Genomic DNA, 25,034 nt, shown 5'->3' on the forward strand with positions numbered 1-25,034 from the left:
AAGAAAAAAAGAAAAAGAAAAAGAAAAAAATAGTCTTTTCAAAATACAAATTAGGTCTTAAAATTTGCTTGCTTAAAACTCTCTGTTGGCTAACAGAGCCCTCAGAAATAACGCCGCATATCTACAACTATCTGATCTTTGACAAACCTGAGAAAAACAAGCAACGGGGAAAGGATTCCCTATTTAATAAATGGTGCTGGGAAAACTGGCTAGCCATATGTAGAAAGCTGAAACTGGATCCCTTCCTTACACCTTATACAAAAATTAATTCAAGATGGATTAAAGACTTAAACGTTAGACCTAAAACCATAAAAACCCTAGAAGAAAACCTAGGCATTACCATTCAGGACATAGGCATGGGCAAGGATTTCATGTCTAAAACACCAAAAGCAATGGCAACAAAAGCCAAAATTGACAAATGGGATCTCATTAAACTAAAGAGCTTCTGCACAGCAAAAGAAACTACCATCAGAGTGAACAGGCAACCTACAAAATGGGAGAAAATTTTCACAACCTACTCATCTGACAAAGGGCTAATATCCAGAATCTACAATGAACTCAAACAAATTTACAAGAAAAAAACAACCCCATCAAAAAGTGGGTGAAGGACATGAACAGACACTTCTCAAAAGAAGACATTTATGCAGCCAAAAAAACACATGAAAAAATGCTCATCATCACTGGCCATCAGAGAAATGCAAATCAAAACCACAATGAGATACCATCTCACACCAGTTAGAATGGCAATCATTAAAAAGTCAGGAAACAACCGGTGCTGGAGAGGATGTGGAGAAATAGGAACACTTTTACACTGTTGGTGGGACTGTCAACTAGTTCAACCATTGTGGAAGTCAGTGTGGCGATTCCTCAGGGATCTAGAACTAGAAATACCATTTGACCCAGGCATCCCATTACTGAGTATATACCCAAAGGACTATAAATCATGCTGCTATAAAGACTCATGCACACGTATGTTTATTGCGGCACTATTCACAATAGCAAAGACTTGGAACCAACCCAAATGTCCAACAATGATAGACTGGATTAAGAAAATGTGGCACATATACACCATGGAATACTATGCAGCCATAAAAAATGATGAGTTCATGTCCTTTGTAGGGACATGGATGAAATTGGAAATCATCATTCTCAGTAAACTATCGCAAGGACAAAAAACCAAACACCGCATGTTCTCACTCATAGGTGGGAATTGAACAATGAGAACACATGGACACAGGAAAGGGAACATCACACGCTGGGGATTGTTGTGGGGTGGGGGGAGGGGGGAGGGATAGCATTAGGAGATATACCTAATGCTAAAGGACGAGTTAACGGGTGCAGCACACCAGCATGGCACATGTATACATATGTAACTAACCTGCACATTGTGCACATGTACCCTAGAACTTAAAGTATAATAATAATAAAATTTAAAAAAGAAAAAAAATGTTGATATTGCCACAGAATAAAAATGTTAAAGTTTTGTAGGCAAAAACACAATAAGCAAATTGAATAGCAAGTGACAATTCAGATAAAAAACCTATCAGAAAAACAAATAATGGAAATTCAAAAAAGAAACATGCAAAAGCAAACAAATATATACAAATTAAGTTTTGTTAGTATTCAAATAAATATAAGATTAAAAAAAAAAACTCTCTGTTGGCTTTCTTGCTCTTAGAATAAAAACCAAAGTAAGTAACATGACTAAGACTTCAGCCTGGTTCTGCCCTGCCTGTCTCTCCAGGTTTACAGCACACCTCTGACTCTACCCACTTCAACCTACTCGTTCCTCCATCCTTTAAGCATCCCAGACTCTCTCCTATTATTAGGCCTTAACTAGGCCTCCAGGAATGCTCCCAGATATGCCCTCATAGGGTAGCGAGGAGTCACAATGGTTGACAGATTCTTTGATTTGCAAGTTCCTGCCTTGCCAGGAGTGTTTACCAAGTTCTTCCTGTCCTCTCCTTCTTTTGTTCTCACCCTTTCTTCCATGTTAAGGTTCTTCATTGAATATTTTCCTTGTGAAAGGCACTGGTGGTTAGGCATTTTGCCTGGTAGAATGGCACTGGCAACTGGTCTGACTTGAATTCCATAGAGCACATGCTATTAATAGCAACAGTAAGAAGCAACAATACTACTGATAAAGCTAGTATTTATCGAGTATTTACTATATCCCAGGTCCTGTGCTGAGTCCATTGGCTAATATAGTCCTTAAACACTAGTATGTTAAAATTATTATTCCCAGTTTACAGACAAGAAAATCAAGGCTTACGTTTTCTCAAAGACTCACTATTGAGGGGGTTGAGGACATGTTACCCCAAAATATGACACCTTGTCATTTGAGAAAGCAGAAGCAGGAAGGTCTCTCTGACCTTTCCCTTGCCCTCCTTTCCTACAGCAGGTCATGTATCTGAGGAAGATCAGTCTCTCACCTTCTTCCTCCCTTCTCTCCTAACGTTCCTTATGTGACAGATGTTTTCCTCTATACCCAGAAGGAAGGAATGTCACACAGAGACACATAGGAGAATCTGAACAAACTGGCCTCACTAAGTCCCCACAGTTTGTTACCATTAGATCACACCCCCCTTGTTCAATCATGTTTCCCCGTAACAATTCACTTCTTCATCAGACTTAGCATAAAATATACATGGCTCTCCTGCTTCTTTGCATCTTCATTTCTGAAGGCTCTTATGTTACATGAAACTTCTATTACATACATTTGTATGCTTTTCCTTCATTAATCTGTCTTTTTTTATAGGGGTCTGTATTAGTCCATTTTGTGTTCCTATAAAAGAATACCTGTGACTGAATCATTTCTATAGAAAAGAGGTTTATTTGGCTCACAGTTCTGCAAGATATACAGGAAGCGTGGTGCCAGCATCTGCTTCTGGTGAGGCCTCAGTTAGCTTCCAATCGTGGCAGAAGGCCAAGGGTGAGTCAGCATGTCACATGGCAAGATTGGGTGCAAGAGAGAGAGGACGAGGTGCCAGACCGTTTTAAACAACTAGCTCTATGTAAACTAATAGCATAAGAACTCACTTATTACCATGGGGAGGGCACCAAGCCATTCATGAATGATCCGGCCCCATGACCCAAACACCTCCCACCAGGTCCCACCTCCAACATTGGGGATCACATTTCAATATGATATTTGGATGGGACAAACCTCCAAATGATATCAGGGTGTCAGCCACGAACCTTGTGATGGGTGAAAAGTCTTTTCTCCCCAACACTGGCAAGTGAGGGATATGACACAGACCCTTCATTCTGGCCACAGTCTTCACACTCTTAGCTGTTGCACTATATTGCTTCTGAAGCATCACCATATACATCTTGGAAGAAAATTAGAGTAAACGAAATCCATGGGGAAGGGCCAGAGAAAGAGAGGATTTCTTTTTGGAGATTTCAGACCAGGAAGGCCTCAATTTGTGTTGTAGTTTTCTAATACTAGGGAGAGACACAGACATCTTCTGTGGGTTAAGGAACTTCCAAGAGAGTCAGAGAGAAGCTACAGACTCACTTTGGAACAAATGGGGCAACAAGAACATCCCCTCCCCGCTCAAATAAACCAAAGCAAAGGAATATTCTGTAGTGATGGTGTGTCTATAGCCAGGATGGTCCTTAGCGTATTCAGGGTAACACAGTCTTTAGCATGACATGACGATTACACTTGCACCTAATTATGGTGAGAGCTGACCACTGGGTTCCTGGACAATGTCCTGCAAGTGGTGCAGTGGGAACTGCAGGTTTCCCTCCTCTGGACAGTGAGCAACCCAACCTTTTGCCCTACGTCTCCATTCTCCTATGGGTTCACATGCAATGGGAAAGAATCCACGTGATTTATTCCTGAAAGGATGAATGGACAATCGTAAGCGACCTCCTCTTGTCAAAGGGGTCCTTGAAATCGCCAGGCAGTAAGGTCATTGCCTGTGTTAGAGAAAGCAGTAATTCTTGGCAGAAAGGAGGTGAAATGATTAAAAACACAGGTCAAGGGATAAAATGGAGTAAGTAGATGAGTGGAGGTTTGTGGGTAAAACATCAATGCCAATGTTTCCATTTTCCCATCATTGCTGTCAGGAAGCAATTGCTCCTTTGATCATGTAAATGACAGGCTTTTAAGAGGTGACCTCAACCATTAATTTTAAATAAAAGCCTCTCTTTGGTCCCTCCCTGGTGGATCAGGCTGCTTCCATGAAATAGCAATAAGGTGAACCGGTTTTCCCTGGACTACAGGGGTGTCTCTTTCCTCTTGCCAGGATTGGGAGGTTAGGTTTTGCCTCTTTTTTTTTTTTTTAAGGGAAAGAGAAATTGATGAATCTCACTTCTGTAGGCTTCAAAAAGTTGAATACGTAATGATATGGAATCTTAAATATTTATTTTCAGTTCCTTACTTTGATCTTTTCTCCAGATTCTATCAACCTCTCCAGCTCCTCCAGACTCCCCCATATGCAAACTGACAGCTTTGTTTCAATCCTTATCACAGTTCCATTTCTGCCTAGCAGTCCAGTCAAAATCATTTGCAAAGACGGCCTGAGTTCCTGGGGGATCAGTTTCTGGGGTCATTTTCTCTCCTTCAAAGTCAAAATGTGACTATTTCCGATGATCCCCAAGAAGACAAATCCAGGCTGATTTTCATACTTTCCACCCAGGAGTCCCTCTCTTCTGGCTGACAGTGGGGTTCAGGACATGCTACCCCAAATTATGCACCTTGGGAAAATTGCAAAATCTGACCATAAAAATTGGAGAGAATTTCCCTCATGCCATGTCTCCTGAAGCAGGCCTAATAACGTAGCTGACCTTCCCTGAAATAGTCCTGGAATGAGTCTTTATTCCAGAGGTGCCCTATGGGACACAGGGACATAGGATAGAATCTGAACAAATGGGCCTTGCTAAGGTCCCTCCAGTTTATTCCCATTAGATCCCATCCCCTTGGTCCAATCATGTTTCTCCACAAGGATCCACTTCTTCATCAGACTTAGCATAACATTTACACAAGTTGTTTTTCTCTGTGTTTTCATTCCTGAAAGCTCCATATAAAGTGTCACATAAAACTTGAATTAACAGTGGCTCACGCCTGTAATCCCAGCACTTTGGAAGGCCGAGGCGGGTGGATCATGAGGTCAGAAGATCGAGACCATCCTGGTTAACACGGTGAAATCCCGTCTCTACTAAAAATACAAAAAAATAGCCGGGCGTGGTGGCGGTGTCTGTAATCCCAGCTACTTGGGAGGCTGAGGCAGGAGAATGGCGTGAACCCAGGAGGCGGAGCTTGCAGTGAGTCGAGATTGCGCCACTTCACTCCAGCCTGGGCGACAGAGCGAGACTCTGTCTCAAAAAAAAAAAAAAAAAAAAAAAAAAAAAAAAACTTGAATTAAATAAATGTGTCTGCTTTCCCTTGTTAATCTGTCTTTTGTTATAGGAGTCTCAGCCATGATCCTTGCAATGGGTGAGGAAATCATTCTTCTTTCCCCTACCCTGATAGTCTCCATGGCTACATTTCCTTCCTTCCTTCCTTCCTTCCTTCCTTCCTTCCTTTCTCTCTCTCTCTCTCTCTCTCTCTTTTGAGACAGAGTTTTGCTCTTGTCGCCAGGCTGGAGTGCGGTGGTGCAATCTTGGCTCACTGCAACCTCTGCCTACCGGGTTCAAACGATTCTCCTGCTCCAGCCTCCCGAGTACCTGGGATTGCAGGTGCATGCCACCATGCCTGGCTAATTCTTGTATTTTTAGTACAGACGGGGTTTCACCATGTTAGCTAGGCTGGTCTCGAACTCCTGACCTCAGGTGATCCATCCGCCTCGGCCTCCTGAAGTGCTGGGATTACAGGCGTGAGCCACTGCACCTGGCTCATCTCTTTATGGCATGCCCAGTTCTGGGGTTATGCTCCAGAGTGTGGAACTAGTTGAACTAGTAGAGTTCAGCTTGATTATGTCCCTGCAGTAAGAGGTGAGGCACATCCCACATCAGGCACCGGGAGAGACCTTCAGTACCAGCAGCTACATGGAGCAAACCATGCCCAGCAGCAAGTGTGTTGCAGTCCCACAGAGAGCAGTGCTTCCCAGAAGTGGCTCTGAAATCTTCAAGTGGCCTAAAAAACCCAATTCTTTTTTAAGGATGTAAGTTATAGATGATCTGATAAGGCCTACTTAGAAAGCCAGTATTCTGGAAAGAGGCTCACACCTGTAATTTTCAGAAAATCTAATAAATGATGATGCATAGCTCTTAAATATTTATATAAGAAGGCAGGAGAGAACCTGCCAGCTTCCTCAGCTAGAGGCAACATCTTTTATGCCAAATATGAATCATCATATAGTATTCTTTCTCAAAGGGACATGGTACTAGTCATAAATCAGTGTACTCGAGTGATCCAGACACTTTTATCAGTTTATAATCTCTTTTTCCTGCGGTTGTTGCGAAACTGTTTTCATTTTACTTGCAAAAGGTTCTGCCTGACGCAGCACAGCTGTGCACCCCTCTCCCGCTTTCAGCCACCCTTGCATTTTCAAGTCAAAAAGGATTAGGCTCATCAGACCAATACCATAGAAGGAAATTATAATGAATCTAGTACAGTGCATTAAAGACCAACACAGCATGATGGTTAGGAGCCAGACTCAGTGGTCCAACTGACCTACATTTCAGGTCTAGCTCCATCAATTACTAAATGTGCCAGTTGACCGTGAGTCTCTAAGTAAATCACTCTCTGCATCAGCTTCCTCCACTGGAAAATGGAGATAATAATAAGAAAGTGCATGGAAATAGTGAGTATTCTCTAAACGTTAGCATTTATTATCACATCTAGAAACCCATCCATTTATGAAACCAGCTCTACAGACTCAATGCTCTTAGAAAGAATGTTCATGTCAAACAAGAAGACAAATACCAGGCCACTCTTGGCTTAAACTCAGCAGCATAAAAACAAAACTGAACTACATTCATACTGCTTTTGACCTAGTTAAGCTTTGAGGATCTTGAAAGAGAGAGAGAGGAATAGAAAGGGAACTGGTTTCTCTTTGAAGGGTTTGCTTAGTCGATTTAGATCAAGTTAGAGTTGACACCTGAGCAGGTTTCTACAGGCAGGTAGGTCAGGGTTTCTCAGTCTTGGCACCATTGGCATTTGGGGCCAAATAATTCCTTGTTGTCAGGGGCTGTCCTGTGTGTTGGTGGACATTTAGTAGCATCCCAAGTTGTGACAACTAAAAATGTCTCCAGATAGATAATTATAAAATGTCTCTGGGGGATAAAATTGCCCCCAGTTGAAAACCACTGGAGGATATTAGGTTGATAGATTCATAGATAGATATGGATATAGATATGAATATGGATGAAGGTGTAGGGACAGACACAGGTGTAAATGCTTGGCAGATGGTTATCAGTGGGTACAGTGCTCACCTTCTTGAATGCTCTACCATGCATCCATAGTTATCTTCTAAGACACAAGCCTGATCGCATTGCTTGGCTGCTTCAAAGCCTTTACTTAGCTCCCTCTGCCTACCAAATTGTTTAAAGTATTTAATATTAAATGTGATGTTGTCCACAACTCGACCCCTTCTCATTTCAGATCCAATTCCCCATTTTCCCCACTATGTTGTTCTTCACCCAAACCTTCCAATACACAGACACATGCACACACTACACACATACAGACACACACACACAGACACACACATCATGCACACATACCCACATGTACAGACACACTGGTTTTCTGACAGTTTTACAAACACATCATGTGCTTTTGCACCTTCATTTTTGTTCTGTGTCTGTCTTGTCCATCCCTACTCCTCCACGTCTCAGCCTAGAGAACCTCTGTCCCAGTTTTAAGGCAAGCCCAAATGTGATCTCCTCTGGAAAACCTTCCTGGATGCCACCTCATGGGCGGATTTAATCCCTGTCACCTGCAGTCACCTGATCCTCTACCTATGGCCCTCCCAGCCCTCTTCATCATAGCTCACAGAGTCTCTATTTGTCTCCTCTGTAATTAAAGACTGCATTCTTTTCATGGCTATAGTAACATGGTCCCTGCTGGCTCATAGCGGGCACTTGATGGGGGTTTGCTGAATTGAGCATGTACGTTTCTCCAGCTTTAAAGTTTAAAGCGCCACTCCTTCCCAGAGATTCCACAAATACTGACCGAGCTCCTCCAGTGGACACAGTACCACATGGGTGCAGGCAAGACTATGTAGCCCACGGGGAATAAGACAAATACGAAAGGAGAACGTGTAATGTGATAGATGTAGAACCGGTGCTCCAGGTGGCTGAAAATACGGTGCTGTGGAGTTGAGGGTGTGAAGAGAACATCTGCTTCATGGAGAAGGTGGAGTGTGAATAGCAGGTAGATCTATAGAGTTGGGAATGATAGAAAAGAGACTTCCAAGCCTCAGATGGGGAAATTTCTAGAGGTAATTAGGGCACAATAAATAGACCATTTTGGCTGAAAGTGAAGGTTGGTATACAGGAAAAGTAGGAGAAGAACCAGAATACTAGGGACAGGGTGTCTAGTTGAAGGATCTTTTCTCCAAAGTGCTACTGGTTGCAAGAAAGAGAAACTCTCTTGAGCTATGTAAGCAAGTGTGGAGATGGGAAAGGGAGGCAGAGCATAGAAGGAGTACTGAGTGTATTCAGACACTGAGGGAAAAAGGACATGCGAAGATATGGAATACTGAAAATCTCTTGGGGCTAAGCAGCTAACCTCTTAGTCAATCTAGATGTGTCTATCAGTCAGTTTGTCCACCATCTCTCTGTCTAAGACCATATAGTCTCCATCCCTCTGTATATTTTGCTCCATCATCCTCTCTACACTCCAGCCACAGAGTAAATAGCTGTGAGATTATACTGCCTGGGCTTTTATTCTAGTATCTTAGCTGCATGACCTTGGACAAGTTTTAAAACTTTTTAAACTCTTAGTTCCTCATCTGTTGGGTGGTCACAGTAATTTTCTTTCTTTAGATGATAGATAGATAGATGGATAGACAGACATATATCTGGATGGCGGTTATAAAAATTAAATAACACATGTCAAACACTTCACATAGCACCTGCCGTGATGAATGCTCAATAAACAGTGGCCATCACTGTTATTACTACTCAGGATTTCTCTGCTTCCATGCAACTTAAGTGTGCATATGGCTTCAACTTGCCAAGGTACCAGTCCTGATAAAGGATCTTTCAGCTCAATCTCCTGACCTGTTTCTGTGTCCTTTGCTCAATTTCTTGAGGGGAAAGAGACAGAGAGAAGAGAGAGGAGAGAGATGAGAGAGAGAGAGAGAGACAGAGAGAGAGAGAGAGAGACAGAGAGAGAGAGAGACAGAGAGAGAGAGAGAGAGAGAGAATCTGGTCACAGGCTACATGGGTGGGTTAAGTGTCCCCTAATGGGCTGTAGCCAGGAACGATGACTCTCGTGGCATGCAGAGCTTCAAGAAGTTGAGGCAGGTGATGGATTTAGATGAGATTGGATATGTAGGGCAGGCCCTGAATGCAAGACGAAGAGAACAGAGGCAAGTTGAGAGGAGTCTGGAGGGCCAGTGAGAGTTGAAAGAGGTACACTTAGCAGGGAAGGGCCCCCAGCTCTGCATGAATGGAAAAATGATAGCTCACCACTTTACCAACTGCAGACATCAACAGTAGACCCATCAGGATATCCCAGAATGGAACTTGGGCCAGCTCGGAAGACAAAACCCAGCACACACCCAAAGACCACACGAGGGCAAGTGCTTTCTTCCCCACTCCACCTTCTTCCAAGTCCTAGACAATATCTCAGGGCCAAATAGGAGGGACAGAATGGAAAGAATGAGAAAGTAGCCCCAAATGGCTGAGTTACACCTGTAGACCTTGTTTAACTCCTTGAATCAAGCCAAATGAGAAAAATTATGTTGTATATTCATTTTCTCTTCTTTCTAGTAGGCAGAAACTCATAGAGCAGCTTCAAAAGAGGAAGAAACTACATTTTCTTGGTACATCCAAAGGTTGCGACTTTGTAACCTTGTTCCTTTACAGGAGGTGTATCTACCAAATTTTAAGAGCTGTCTTCGAAGATTCCCATCTTAAGGACAGAGACCATGTCACAAATCTATCCATCAAAGTTGAAAAAACACCAGTTTTGCTAAGTCCAAGATCACTGGGACCAAACCTGGATGCCTGCTTACTAGATCTGTGAAACTGGGCAGCTCCTTTAATTTCTCTTACCTTCCACTTCTCTTTCTGTAAAGTGGGCCTAGTAATCTCGGTCCTACCCTCCATTGAAGGCATTTCAGAAAATCACATGAGATAATGTAAAGTAAATCTGCTTTCAAAGTCATATAGAATAAAAGCTTGAATTATTATGAGAGTGCCTGGCAGACGGTGGGTGCTAAAAAGTATGCAATAGTAAGTACGAAATTACTGAGCAATTTATTTCTATGCAATTTAATGGAATGTCATTTTTCCTATAGATGAAGTGTATGGAGATTTGAAGAAGAAAGAAGACACTGTTTCCTCATTTTAGTACCTGAAGCCCTATGTATAATGGCAAAGCTTTACATATTAGAGTTTCCTAGACATGCAGGATGATTTCATCTAGTTCCTCATTTTCAAGGTCAAGACCCTGTGTCTCAGTGTGGTTTCAAGACCAATGCCAGGCATAAGGTTTCTGTTTCCTGGCCCAGTGACCTCGCAACCATACCACGATGTCATTTTTTAAATGTCTTACTATAAGTAAAATTACAACAATAAGCAATTGACATATGACTTCACAGATTCCAAAATGCATTTCCATGTGTGATTTCACTTGATCCTTTAAAATGTAGGGGGAAGAAGTTATGACCCACACTTCATCACCGGAGAGAAAACCAAAGTTTGGGTACATAAGATAACATGTTTCAGGGAACGACAAGGTGCATTTTAAGTCTCTCTTTCCAGTGCTCATATGATATCTAAAAGAGCTACAATTTCCACAAATGGAGCAGAAGACAATAGTCACTTCACAGTGCACATTAACAACACACATCAAAACAAGGAGATGAAGCAAGATTTCTGGATCCGAAAAAAAAAAAAAAAACAAGTGTGACGTCATGGTTTTAGAGGAACAAAGCTGAAGGCAATGGAAGCTGCAAGTGCGTGCTGATTTCACTCAGAGGCTCGGATGCTTTCACAAGTTCATTTAAAAAATGAACATGGCTTGGATCACCAACAAACCACACCAGCCATGTGATCCAATTTGGTACATATCGTCCCTCGGAGTGAAATGCTGCTATGTTGACAGTGTTTAACCCTAATTTCACTGCAAAGGAGAATTTGTGCTGTTTAAAGGCAAATTTCTTTCTTTAATCAGGGGACAAACCTTAAGGCCAATACAGTGGCAATGCCAAGGCCAAAGCAGGAGGTTCCTAAAAAATATGGAAGACTGAAGGAGGGCTCAGTGAGAGGCAGAGTTCGCTGGGGACACGGCACTAGACCCTGCTTCTTTTGCTATCTGCCTCTGGGGACCCTGAAAAGTAGTGTTTTAGTGTTTCCCAATACCTTTTGAGATGGATTCATTTGTTACCCATTCGGTGAACATTACTGAGCATCTATTGGTTTTATAAAATAATTGGGAACAGGATGAACTTACATTCTAGTGTGTGTGTTGGGGGCAGAGATACAAACAGATAAAAGCAGAAACCATTTCAGAATGTGCAAAGGGCTAGGAAGGAAATAAACATCAATGACAATGACAGGGACAAGGTCAGGGAGGGATTCTCTGTGGAATAATAGCAAAACTGAGGCCTGAACGACTAGACGTCAGACATGAAAGGAGGTAGTACAAGACCGTTCTAAGTAGAGGGAATAGACGGGCAGGAAGGAGCTAAGCCAATGTGGATGAAGTGTAGGGGATGTAAACCTGAAACGTCTGGGACAGGTCTCAAACAATTTAGAAAGTGTATTTTGCCAAGATTAAGGGCACGGCCATGACACAGCCTCAGGAGGGCCTGACGACACGTCCCCAAGGTGGTTGAGCACAGCTTGGGTATAAACGGAGAAAATCAAAAGCTCTGTTTGGAATGTGTTAAATTTAAGTCACTCAGTCAATATCTACACAGTAGACAGTTGAATATGCAAATCTGGAGCATTGAGGTAAGTTTAGGGTCAGAAATGTAAGTCTGGGACTCAACATGTGGAAGGCATTTAAAGCCATGAGAAGGGATGAGTGCACCTAACGGGAAGGTGCAGGTAGAGAAGAGAAGGTGGCCAGACTGGAGCCTGTTACCCCGTGACATTTATGTCACGTACCTGAGGAAGACGCAGCAAAGAGAACCGAGAGGACCCTTGATGAAGTAGGAGGAAAACCAGCAGGGGGTGCTGTTGGGGAAGGCGGGCACAACTGTATTGTGTGCTACTGAAATGCTGAGTGTGATTGGGGTTGTAGGCAAGGAGGTCATTGCAAAATATTTATTTTAAGCAAATTGTAAAGTAGCTCAATTGTTAGCTCTATGTAACAAATGCTTGCTGAATAAAGGGAGGAGTAGAAGGATGGAGGGATGAATACAGGCAAGGCCATGAGAAGACAAAATTTCCCAGTCCAGCTCTTGGTTCTCTGATGGGCTAACTGCTTGGCCTTGGACTCACTTAGCACATGAGTTTCTTATCTCTGAAAATGCTTTAACACAGCATATTAGCTCGGTTCTCCAGAGAACAGAGCCTACAGGATGTGTGTTAATATACGAAGAGATTTAATTATAAGGAATCGGCTCACATGATTATAAAGTCTGGGAAGTCCCAAGATCACTAGGCAGAGCGGGCAGGTTGGAGACACAGGAGAGCTGAGGGTTTAGTTCCAGCCCAAAGGCCAGCAGGCTTGAGACTCAGGAAGGGCCAGTGTTTCAGTTTGAGTCTGAAGGGAAGAAAAAAACCCATATCCCAGTCGGAAGGCTATCAAGCAGGAGGAACTCCTTTAATAGGAGAAAGGTAAACCTTTTTGTTCTATTCAGGCCTTCAGTGGACTAGATGAGGCCCACCCATATTAGGAAGGCAATTGGCTTTACTCTGTCTGTTGATTTAAATCCCAAAACAGACACACCTAGAATAATGTTTGACCAGCTATCTGGGCAACCCATGGCCCAGTTAAGTTGACACATCAGTTAGCCATTACACACAGGCTGGAGGGCTCCTTGTCCAGGATATCTTAAAATACGTTCTTGGGGTTAAAGTGTGGGCTTGTTTGCTTTATAGAGTCCCCAACACTTAATAGAGTTTGTGATTCTAGGATTTACAGGATATAAGCAAGTGAAATAAATACTTTTTAAGAACTAATTCAGGCTGGGCACAGTGGCTCATGCCTGTAATCCCAGCACTTTGGGAGGCCAAGGCAGGCAGATCACTTGAGGCCAGGAGTTTGAGAGCAGCCTGGCCAACATGGTGGAACCCTGTCACTACTAAAAATACAAAAATTATCTGGACACGGACGTGCGCCTGTAATCCCAGCTACTCGGGAGACTGAGGCACGAGAATCGCTTGAACCCAGGAGGCAGACGTTGCAGTGAGCCGAGATCATGCTACTGCACTCCAGCCTGGGTGACAGAGTAAGTCTCTGTCTGAATTAAAAAAAAAAAAGAAAAAAAAAGAACTAATTTAAAAATCATATATTCTTTGTTGCAATATTATCATGGAATATACTTACAGACAGACAGGTCCTATGCTGGGAAGTACAAGGTGGTGTTTAAATGTTCTCATTTGAAAAGTCAGGATGGTTAGAGCCCCAGGAGTCTAACTGATATGCAGGGGTGTGATTTTTTGGGGGGGTTTCTCCTTTTCCCACCATGGATCTGTTGAAGTGGATCATCTTATTTCACCCGAAGGATCGTTGGAAAGAGCTGGGTCGCAGGCTTAGAGGATGGCTCTTGAGCTGTTTGTCCCCTGACTTCCATACGCTCCCCTTCTGTGCCCCGTATTCTCCCTATGTGTCTCGACTCGGAGACATCGCACCTGCGCAGATGCTGACAGACGCCCATAGATGGCAGCAGCCCTCTGAAGCAACAGCGGAGGTAACGTGGGCGTTCGCCTTAGGAGCCGGGGCAGGGTGCAGAGCTAGGGTAGTGGGTGAATGTTCACACAAGCTGTGCACTTTCCTTTCCAAAGCAAAAAAGCGACTCTGTCCTGCCACACGTTAGAATATTTGTTATTTTAAATAGAGCTAATACTCAAGATGGGAGGGAACAAAGGCAGCAACTCCCAGCCTCTTAAACTTCGGGTTTACATACCTTCAAAAACAAGTTGTACTCTTTGTCTGCGATTGTTGCTTCTAACATATGTTGGGCTCTTATCGTTTCCCAGCAGATGCAGGCACAAGGACGAAACTTGCTCACTCTCCCTATAATCAGTTAAGAACAGATGTCCAAATAGATATATCTCCCCCTAAACCTTAAGTAAAGATAATGTATGCAGAGTAAACAGAAAAGTGGGCACATTAGCCCAAATACAGATGGCTTCGCCGGATAGAGGTGTGTTGCAGAAGTCATTAAACATTAAGGTTCAATAGCGTCACATCAAAATACGGTATTTTACAAGAAAAATAGCTGATACCAGTGCTATTGGGCTTGTCTTTCCACATTCAATGTTGCTGTCTCTGAATGCCTCTGCAGGCAGCAAGAACTAATGGGACGTCTTGGAAAACTCAGCCTGTTCTATGGGGATACCCGGCAACTGTCCAGGCCGTTTGTTGAAGCATTCTGCTGACTGCAGCAAGCCAGAAAATTAGAGCAAGTGTTTTTCACCTAAAGCTAGGTTCCAGAAAAAAAAACAAAAAAACAAAGAGGCCGGGCACAGTGGCTCAGGCCTGTAACCCCAGCACTTTGGGAGGCTGAGGCGGGCGGATCACGAGGTCAGTAGATTGAGACCATTCTGGCTAACATGGTGAAACCCAGTCTCTACTAAAAATACAAAAAATTAGCCGGGTGTGGTGGCACGCGACTGTAGTCCTACCTACTGGGGAGGCTGAGGCAGGAGAATCGCTTGAACCCGGGAGGCGGAAGTTGCAGTGAGCCGAGATCGCGCCACTGCACTCCCGCCTGAGCAACAGAGGGAGACTCTGTCTCAGAAAACAAAACAAAACGAAAAAACCTTTGCAGGGGATCTTGGGTCAAAGATCAGCAGTCTTCTAAATGCCTCCGCCCTGTAATATGCATGGTCGGCCTCCCAATTCTGAGTTAAAAAATAATTTTGTTTGTTTGTTTGTTTGTTTTTTAAAAAAACAACCTAAGTTAGGCTGCCATGCACCATTCTCTAAACTCTTTGTGTATTTCTCCTAAATATTTTTTATTTATTTTTGAATAGCTAATTCACACACATAGTTTAAAAAATTAAAAATGTATTTAAAGGAATACAGTGAAAAGGCTCTTACAAATGCCTGCTACTCATCTACACGTTACCATTGTCATGAATTTTTTATGTATCCTTTCAGAGTAGGAAGGCATACAAATAAAAGTAAATAAACAACCGTATTTTTTTTTCCTTTTTAACACAAAAAAGAGAAACTCTGTTCACACTATTCCACCTCTTGCTTTTTAAAATAACACTATAGGTTGGAGAGCTTTCCGTATCAACCTATAGAAAGCTCTCTTATTCTGGTTTACAGCTGTGTGATAGCCCATTACTTGGGTAAATCATATACCGTATTTTATGAACTAGTTCTTTATTACTAGATACTTAGATTATTTCCTGTCTGCAATTACAGACAGTGCTGTAACTAATAATCTCAAAATATATCTTTTCAATATGTGCCCGGACATCTATGTGATAAATGGCCAGAAGTGTAACTGTTGGGTCTAGGAGCAGATGATGGTCATTTTAATGCTTTTCATCTGAATCTTGCACATGTTGTGTTGAGTTTATTCCTATGTATTTTATCTCTGGGTTGCTGTTGTAAATGGGTTCTTTGCTTCCATTATATCTTCTAACGGGCTACTGTTAATATATATGAAAGCTATTGATTTCTGTGTAATAATTTTATACCTTATTCCTTTAGTATATTCTCTTATAGTTTTTAAAATTGATCAATGAGTTGACTTCAGTTTTCCAAATATTTAGTTTTATTGTCATCTGCAGATAGTAATGGTTTTACATTTTCTGTTCCACTTTTAAATCTCAATTTTTTCAACAAATTTTATATATAATTCTACAGTGAAATATTAAATAATAATAACATTAGTGGGCATTCCTGATTTCATCCTGATATTTAATGGAAATGTCTCTAGTACTGGCTTCTGAATTGAGATACCAATATTTTATTATATTAAAGAAGTTTTATATTTATTATATAAAGTATTATATTAAAGTGTTCATGTATTTCTACTTTATTATTTTCATCAAGAATTTATTGAAATTTTTTAAATGCCTTTGAGAGACTATGTAGATAGTGATGTGATTTTTCTATTAAGATGACAAATTATATCGATTTCCTAATACTGAATCAGCTTTGAAATTCTAGCCTTAGCCCTACTTGATTAGAATTCTTTTAATGTGTTGCTGAATTCTGTTTGTTCACGTTTATTTAGAGTTTTGGAATCACTATTCATAAGTGAGATTTGTTGATAGGTTGGTTTTCTTAAATTTCATAACATTTGGGTATTAATATAATTACTTTAAAATTTTTCCAGCAATAGTATTTATCTCCTTCAGGTTTTCAAATCATTTCCGGAGATTTGAGGGAAGTAGTCTCATTCATTTAATCATCTCTGTTATTTTGGTTATATTCCCTTTTCCATTTCTTTTTTAAATTTTATATTGTATGTTTACCCTTTGCAAAAAGTAGGTTTTTCAGCTTATATGTTTTTCTCATAAACGGTTTATAGATTTATTTATTAGGGCTACTGTTCCTCTATTTTCTAACTCATTAAATTCTGCTTTTATCTTCATTCAAGGCTTGTGTTGTAGTTCTTTTTCTAACATTTTGGATAAGATAGAAATGTGTTTGTTTTCCCTCATTTTTTGGCATATGTTCTTGTTGCTGTTATGAGGAGGTTATTGTGCATGGCTTTAGCTGTGCTGGATACATCCTCCCCTGTCATGTTTTTATTCTAGTTATGTTCTAGATCAGTGCTATGCAGTAGAACTTTCTGGGATAAGGGGAATGTCACTGGCCATCTGTGGGTATTGAGAACTTGAAATGCGGCTGGTATTTGTGAGGTGAGGAACTTAATTTTTAATTTGACTTTTAAATTTAATTTTAAATAGCTACACACGGGCCAAGCATGGTGGCTCATGCCTGGAATCCCAGCACTTTGGGAGGCCAAGGCAGGCAGGTCACAAAGTCAAGAGATCGAGACCATCTTGGCCAACATGGTGAAACCCCGTCTCTACTAAAAATATGAAAATTAGCTGGGCGTGGTGGTGCGCGCCTATAGTCCCAGCTACTTGGGAGGCTGAGGCAAGAGAATCGCTTGAACCTGGGAGGTGGAGGTTGCAGTGAGCTGAAATCACGCCACTGCACTCCAGCCTGGTGACAGAGTGAGACTCCGTCAAAAAAAAAAAAAAAAAAAAAAAAAGCCACACATGGCTCATGGCAACCTCATTGGGTGGTGTGTAGCTAGACATTTTCCAATTTTCATTTGTATTTCTCCTTTTATCCAATAATTACTCAAGATATGGGGCTTTTTTTTTTTTAGCATGTCACTAATTAGGAGATAGAGTTTTAAAATATACATATATTTTAAATATATATATAAATATTTTAAATATAAATATAAATATTTTAAATATAAATATTATATATATTTTAAAGGTTGAAAGAACTTTTAGTTATCCAATTTCATTAACTACTAGTCTTACTGCATTGTGATCAGAGAAAACTGCCTGTATTCTTTGTAGTTTGGGGGCATTATTTAGGATATCTTTGTGGCCCAATGTATACTGTATGTGGGTATACAATGTGTACTGAGAGCACTGGGGCCACTTTGAAAGGGGTTTATTCAGTGTCTTCAGGATAGAATGTTAGATACATATTGATCAATCATGTAATGTTATTTAGAACTACTGTATCCATATTTTCTTTTGTACTTGAACTGTCATGACTGACAGAGATAAATTAAGATTTCCTTCTACCAGTTTGCTTCGATTTCTTGTGTCTCCTTTAATCCTGCTTCATGACTGTGGCTGTTATTTCATATTTAGAGCAGGGCTAATGTGTTTTCATTATGACTCACACAAGTTGGCATTACAAAGTGCCCTTGTCCGTCTTGTTCTGGCCTGAACTCCATGCTGTCTGATATGAAAGTTTGTGATCATTTTCTTCTCAATTGCATTTGACTAGCGTATCTCTATCTGTTATTTTATATTTATATACTTTTATTTCCATGATTTTGAAGCTCTGTTTTAGGAATGCTGTTTTCATTCAGCATCGAGTTGTGTTTGGTTTTGATCCAACCTGAAATCCGTTTGTATTAATAGATAAGTTAAACTCATTTAACTTGTTAATGTGATAGATATGTCAAGCTTTAGTTCTACCTTTTATGTTTATGTGTTCGTGATACTTAAAGGTCTTTTACTATGCACTCCATGAATAGTACTTTCATCACAGAGTTAAAAAATATTTTTGTTTAATGGTTGATTACCCTTACAATTGCAAATTTATGCATTATCACCAGCACTCTCTTTAGTTCATAGCTATTATCTCCTTATCTCCTCCTCCCTACTCTCCATGACCCAATTTCATTTAATAGTATTACCTTTCTTGGTACTTAACTATGTAGTATGAAATATGCTACTGCTTCTATTTCCTGGTTTGTGAGTTTTAAATGATACCTTTGATATCTAGCTTTATAGATGAAGCAATTAGCAAACCTATCTACTCATACTCTTTCCCTCTTCCTCTCCTACGTTTATCACTCATAGCATTTATACCTTGTTTGGGCATATACCATTGGTATTTTATCCTGCCTCACTGATCCCCCACCATTTCAGTCTTATTTGTACAGTTAAACATATTCATGCACTACTATTAGTCCTTTTGCTATACTTTCCTCAGTTTCTTAGTCATCTCTTAGTTGAAGAAACCTCATTCTTCAGCAGTTATCCCAACATAGGCTTATAGGAAAAATATAATCTGAGGTTTGCAGATCGAAACTCTTTTTTGGCATTGGTTATACTATAAAGAGAGCTTGGCCTCATGAAAATCCTTGGCCCACAATTTATTTTCATCTATGTCTTATAAGCATTGTTTCTCGGTCTTCATGTTGCTCTGGAAACATCTAAAGCCAGCCCTATTTGTTCCCTTGTTTTAGTGACAGTATTTTTACCTGGCTTCCCAAAGATGTCTCCTTTCCTTTTTCTAGTTCAACAATTTCACAAAATTATATTTTGATGCTGACAATTTGCAGTGAGTATTTTCTGGCTCATAGTATGCCTGTTCAGCATGCAGATTTGTTTCATTTTATTTAACTTATGCCTTGCCTATTTGTTCTATTTCACTCATCTTTGAAAATTCTGGCCGGGAGCAGTGGCTCACACCTGTAATCCAGCACTTTGGGAGGCCAAGGAGGGTGGATCACTTGAAGTCAGGAGTTTGAGACCAGCCTAGTCAACATGGCGAAACCACCTCTACTAAAAATACAAATATTAGCCAGGTGTGGTGGCACGCACCTGTAATCCCAGCTACTTAGGAGGCAGAGTCAGGAGAATCACTTGAACCCAGGGGGCAGAGGTTGCAGTGAGCTGAGATGGCGCCACTGCACTCCAGCCTGGGTGACAGAGCGAGACTCTGTGTCAAAAAAAAAGAAAGGAAGGAAGGAAAGAAGGAAGGAAGGAAGGAAAGAAGAAAGAAAGAAAGAAAGAAAGAGAAAGAAAGAAAGAAAGAAAGAAAGAAAGAAAGAAAGAAAGAAAGAAAGAAAGAAAAGAAAGAAAAGAGAGAGAAAGAAAGAAAAAATCCAGTGACATTTATTTTACATCTATCATTTTCTTTCTAGGGCTTTTTCACTATATGTTACTATATTACTTTATTTTTCTCATTTCTATCCTTCAGGACTCTTTGTCTTTTTATCACGCCGTCGATTCTCTCTTGTGACCACTGGATTTCCTTTTCGTTTCTATGACGGTTTCGCTTTTTCTTCTATTTATTTTCTGAGTTCTCCTCATTCCTGTCTTATAACCTGCAGTTGTCTCTCGGCATTCTCCTGGAATTATTACATTTCCACTTTGTGGCATTCCTTCTTAGTAGTAATTGCTTCATTATGCTCCTTAAAATCTGGCAAAATGTTTGGTTGCAGTTCATCTTTGCTCAGTGGCACTGTTTTTAGGAGAATAATCCGTATCAGTTGGAAAGCTTTGCAGATCTTTTCCACATATTTATTCACAATAAATTTTCTTACTGTTTATCATTAAAAACTTGGTTTTTTATGACCCAGCTATTGGCAGACTAGTCCTATAGGCAGAGACAAAGCAGGGCAGTCCTGGCTTCACAGCAAAGGGCTTATTCCTTCACTGCCACAGAAACAGAATGCTCACTGTGAATATTGCTCTTCTGTGTGAGACTGGATTTCCATTTCTGGGGCCATCGTGACTTCTACCACCAGCTTTCCTTGTCCTGGCACAAGATATCCACTGTTGCAAATGAGAAATATAGCTCTTGTACTACCAGACTATCAGTTTTTGCATTTTTATGGATCTTCCTGAATTTTCCTTCTTATGAGTCCACTCATTACTCTCTGAGCTTCTGATTTTTCCTACTCTTTCCTACTGCTCTTCCTTCCATCTGCTTCTGCCTTATTTGGGGCTTTTGAAAGTCCCTACAGGTATTTTGAAGTCAGCATATCATCTGATTTCTAAATTTCATGGACAGTTGAATTTGCAGGACTTAGGAAATTCTTCTAGTTTTTTGTTTGTTTGTCTGCTTGCTTCTTTAGGAGAAGAAGGAGAAAACACTGATGGATATAGTCATGTTCATAAGAAGATCTCTTCCGAGTGTTTGATGCAACCTCTGCTTCCGCTATCCCATCTTCTCACACTCCCCTTTGTGCTAGTTCTTCTCATCTGCATGCAGCTTCTTTCCTGTCATTTGACCATCATGGAGAAGCTCTTTTTTCATGAACATTTTCCTTCTGAAAACCACATATGTCCCACTGTCAGTTTTGCACATCTATTTCATTATCAGACTTGAAAATGTATCCCTCTTATCCATTTCCTTACTTTATCAAAAATGTTGGAAATGAATAACATATGGAATGTACATTAACTTAGTTACCATCATTTTAGTTGTCCATCACCAGTACCTAATCATGATGGTTAGTTCATGGATGAATTTTCAACGAATATGCATGCAACAATGCTAGGTGTGTCAATGATGGTTCCTTGACTTAAATGAAGTATATGGTCTGCTTAAATCACCTGCCTTTTTCTGTGATCAACTAATTTAAATTAAGAAATGAAATAAAAAATTATAGCAGGGAGCCTTGAAGGTAGGTTGAAAACTGTCTGCTGAGTCAGTAGCTCTATTTTTATCCAAACAGACAAGAAGACAGCAAGCCCCTTGACTTGTGGTTTCCGTTCTCTCATTTCCTGTGTGCACCCACATGAACCATGTGCCCTCCCTGACTCCCTGCCTCCACGTCTAGAGAAGGAGGCGTGGGTCTTCTCTAATTCCCCTTGTGTGCTTGACTTGTTCCCCACCACCCAAGGGCTAAGGCTTAGGCACTGCGTTGAAAACTTCAGCACAGCAGGGAACCTCAGCCACTCTGTCTTCTATCCATCCTCCCTCATGTCTTCTCTGTACTCCTGTCTCTATCAGTTGGCACCTGGGCCTCCGCCTGCCTTCACCTCCTTGTCTCCATCCTTGCAATGAATGCCGTAGTATGACCACCTCTTCTTCTCCAGTGTAACTTCACTCTGGCACTATTTTCTGAAACTTGTGGACCCTCCATGCCACAGCTACCCTAAACCCACTCTCCTGAGAAGCCCCAGTTCCCAGAACGGAAGTCCAGGTCGGCCCTCGGCCGCCACACTTCCCTAAACAGCAGCTGCCTAAGAGTCTGTGAACCTGCACAATTTTCACTAGCAGTGTCTCAACAATTAGCCGGTGCCTCACAAGTGGGGCAGATGGTATAGCCAGGAATGAGAGTTTCATGTTTCTTCTGATTCACATGCATTCCTATCTAAAGGCTGTTTCCTTTTAGAGACAAACTAATTTTTTCTCTTTCGTCCTTTGCCTGGGCTTTATGTTTACTTCTACAAGCTGGCACTTCCGATGGTTTCTAGAGAGCTCATTGGTGCTCTCTCTCTCTCTAACACACACACACACACACACACACACACACACACACACACTATGTACACACCTCACAGGAAATGGAAACTTGTTCCCATTATGGGTCCTGAAACAAAGCTCTGTGGATATGCATGTGCTACTTAGATTTTCTATCCCAGGAAATGAGTTTAAATACCTACCTCCCCAACAAATTTTTTTTTCAGAGACAACAGACCTCGGAAGACAAGTGGAAGTTGAAACTCTCCTTGAATGCGGTTCTTGGGAGTTGGAAATCTCCATTGCCGTTGCTTCCCCATGGAAGGCTTTGCAGTGCTAAATGGCTTATCTCCATGACAACCAGAAGAGCTGGTTGTTGTTTTTTTTTTTTTTTTTTTCTGCTGGACATTTTTTTCTAGATTTTACTTCATATTTAAAATAATTAAAAGTGTTTATCTCAGTACACCACAACCAGTCATTTACTGGGCCAGTGTCAGGAGGCAGTTCACATCCGTTTGGGGTCCACTCAAACCACCTCCATGCTGTCGGCCTTCAAAGTTTCCAAGAGGTTTGGTTTCTCTTTGAAATCTGGCTTCTCACTTGCGCACTGTATAACTTTTAAACAGATTAATTTTTTTAGTTCCTTATATATAAGTTTTCTGCATGTAAAAATTTAAGATAATTTTATGTCAAGAAGAGCAGAGAAGATGTATTAGATAAAGTGTGAGAGACTGCCTGATAGAGCTGAACACATGGGAAGCATACAAAATATTCATCTCTCTGCTTATTCGTTTCCTTAGCAGAATATCTGGCTGCAGCTTACTGTAGCCATCCTGTCATCAGTTCCCAAACGGGAGGAATGCCATGGTCTCTTGACAGAGGCTCTCTTGCACTGTTGGAGGCAAGGGCCTGCTGTCCTGTCAGGTTGGCCCATTTATCCAGTTACTCGTGAAATATCTTGTTCTCTCAGAGAATCAACCGGCGGCTGTGTGCTGACTTCACAAAGAAAAATCCATTCTCTCACCAAGTAGTTGTCAAGCATAATAAAGAAAAACTGGCAGAATAATTGGGGTGGTTGCTGAGTCTAACTCAATATCGTATGAAAGAAAATATATGGAACAGTGGTGTTTAAAGAGAACTGCACACCTCTGTTTGTATGGCAGGCTCAAACACAGCCAGTCAGACGTATGTAGAGTCAAAGTGAGGAAGTGGAGGTCATTTAGACTACTGGTAGACCCAGAATTCGAGCCAAAACAGAAGCAGAAAACAGAAATAGATGCTTCAGGATCTGTCTCTCTGCCAAGCCAACCCAGCGATTCTCATCAGAAACCTCAACAAACAATTGGAAGAGAAACAGGTAGAAATTGTGGTTCAATTTTAAGGTATCATTGTGTTTATTTTGAAGCACTTTTTTCTTCAAGATGGAAATCATTTTAGTGTCTTATTTAGTTATAAATGTGATGAATACTTGCTGCAAAAACAATCAGAAGAAACAGTTTTATTGCTTTATTTAGTTAAAATGTGATGTAAAAACAACCAGAGGCTACAAAAAATAGAAAAAAGAAAAGAGAAAAAAGATGAAAGAAGGACAAGAATGAAAGAAAGGAAGAAAAAGATGAGAAGAAAACACGTGAAAGGGGTCATAGTATGCCACCCCAAAATATATTATTTTGGGACATTGATTATTTTGAGCTGTAGATGATCAAGAAACAGCAGATCCAGGAAGATTATTTAGAGCTGAAGATGATTGAGAAATAGCAGATCCAGGAAGAGCTGTCTCCCCACTTTCTATGTATATAAAAGTGGGGCATAAATTTTCTGTAAGAAAAGTACCCCCCAGGTGCCAGGAAGAGGAGAGAATTTTTGTCAGAGATGGGGAGTCGAAGCTGAGATGAATCCATACAAACAAGCCTACTAAAATTATATTTGCCTTCCATTAATTTTCCCTATGTATTTCTTAGTAACTGTCCCATGGTTTGCCTCCCCAAACCCAAACCCCTTTCTCCCTTGACTGTCCATGTCTCCATAATTTATTATTATCTGTTAAAATGATATATAGGTTCTTGTGCCTTTTCACCTCTTTGAATTCTCATTTCTTACATATGAAAGGCCCCATATACACATAAACACATTAGTATCAAATAACATTTGTATGCTTTCCCTCCTATTAACCTGTCTTTTGTCTATTTAATTCTCAGGACCAACCACAGAACCTAACAGGAGAGAGAAAAAGTCTTTCCTCCCCTATGGAAGGAAGGAAGGAGAATAAAAATAAAGCATGATTGGTAATACAGCCACTCAAGAGAAACACTGTCCATTGGCTTTTGATTACTGACCACAGTAATTTATATTCTCCAAAAAAAAACTAGTGAATGTGTTCAGCAATTAGCCCATTGGTGAAGGCATGGAGAGTCATGAGAGCTTGTTCCTTTCATGGAACAGTCTTTAAGTAGAACTATTGCGTACAGTACAAGAGGAGAGTTGTTCCTAGAAGTTAGGTCAGAAGATAGAAGTTAAGGGACAAGATAATAAAGGAATTTATCATCCTAAAGCTTTTGATTTTCTTTCCTCATCTGCTGGATGACACATAACGCAGAATTGGAATGTTCTAGAATGTTCAGAATTTAGAATGGTTCCAAGTTGTCAACCCAATTCTATAAAGACATGTGAGATACATAAGGGTACAGGAATAGATGCCTATTTTCACTGGCATTGTAATGTGTTAAAGTGTGGAAGAAGCTCCAGTTTTTGCACTTGAGTCACTGTGCAGATAGACCTGTCCATTGATATTCTAAGGAAAATGTTACCAATATGGGAGAATGGGCTCTGCTGTATCAGAAGGAGACAACATGGCGTGATG

The 25,034-nt window shown here is 40.8% G+C and overlaps 1 long non-coding RNA gene across 5 annotated transcripts in view, besides 4 other annotated features; it reads right to left on the minus strand.

Annotated features, from left to right (window-relative positions):
• The window catches only part of LOC105376387 (uncharacterized), a 294,200-nt gene that overhangs the window by 81,952 nt on the left and 187,214 nt on the right, over positions 1–25,034 (minus strand). The window contains exons 4-5 of one of the 5 annotated variants that reach the window (NR_188187.1): positions 14,208–14,317; positions 13,895–14,103 (exon numbers count right to left, since the gene is read on the minus strand). The exons of the other annotated variants lie outside the window; for them this stretch is intronic. This is a non-coding gene — a long non-coding RNA (uncharacterized LOC105376387). Of the gene's footprint in view, positions 1–13,894; positions 14,104–14,207; positions 14,318–25,034 lie in introns of those variants that run through there. 5 annotated transcript variants of the gene reach the window in all.
• Positions 3,830–4,331: an enhancer, noted in NCBI's record as "NANOG hESC enhancer chr10:6952013-6952514 (GRCh37/hg19 assembly coordinates)". NCBI's record gives its function as "activates a minimal SCP1, AML or CMV promoter by ChIP-STARR-seq in naive H9 embryonic stem cells {active_cell/tissue: H9 hESC(naive)}" and the evidence as "EXISTENCE:reporter gene assay evidence [ECO:0000049][PMID:30033119]".
• Positions 6,541–6,610: an enhancer, noted in NCBI's record as "active region_2970". NCBI's record gives its function as "activates an Ori minimal core promoter by ATAC-STARR-seq in GM12878 lymphoblastoid cells {active_cell/tissue: GM12878}" and the evidence as "EXISTENCE:reporter gene assay evidence [ECO:0000049][PMID:35858748]".
• Positions 21,674–22,093: an enhancer, noted in NCBI's record as "nonconserved acetylation island sequence 45". NCBI's record gives its function as "activates a minimal heat-shock promoter by reporter assays in Jurkat T cells {active_cell/tissue: Jurkat}" and the evidence as "EXISTENCE:reporter gene assay evidence [ECO:0000049][PMID:17135569]".
• Positions 21,825–21,914: an enhancer, noted in NCBI's record as "active region_2971". NCBI's record gives its function as "activates an Ori minimal core promoter by ATAC-STARR-seq in GM12878 lymphoblastoid cells {active_cell/tissue: GM12878}" and the evidence as "EXISTENCE:reporter gene assay evidence [ECO:0000049][PMID:35858748]".

This window comes from Homo sapiens, chromosome 10 (genome assembly GCF_000001405.40).
Source record: "Homo sapiens chromosome 10, GRCh38.p14 Primary Assembly".
Taxonomy (NCBI): Eukaryota; Metazoa; Chordata; class Mammalia; order Primates; family Hominidae; genus Homo; species Homo sapiens.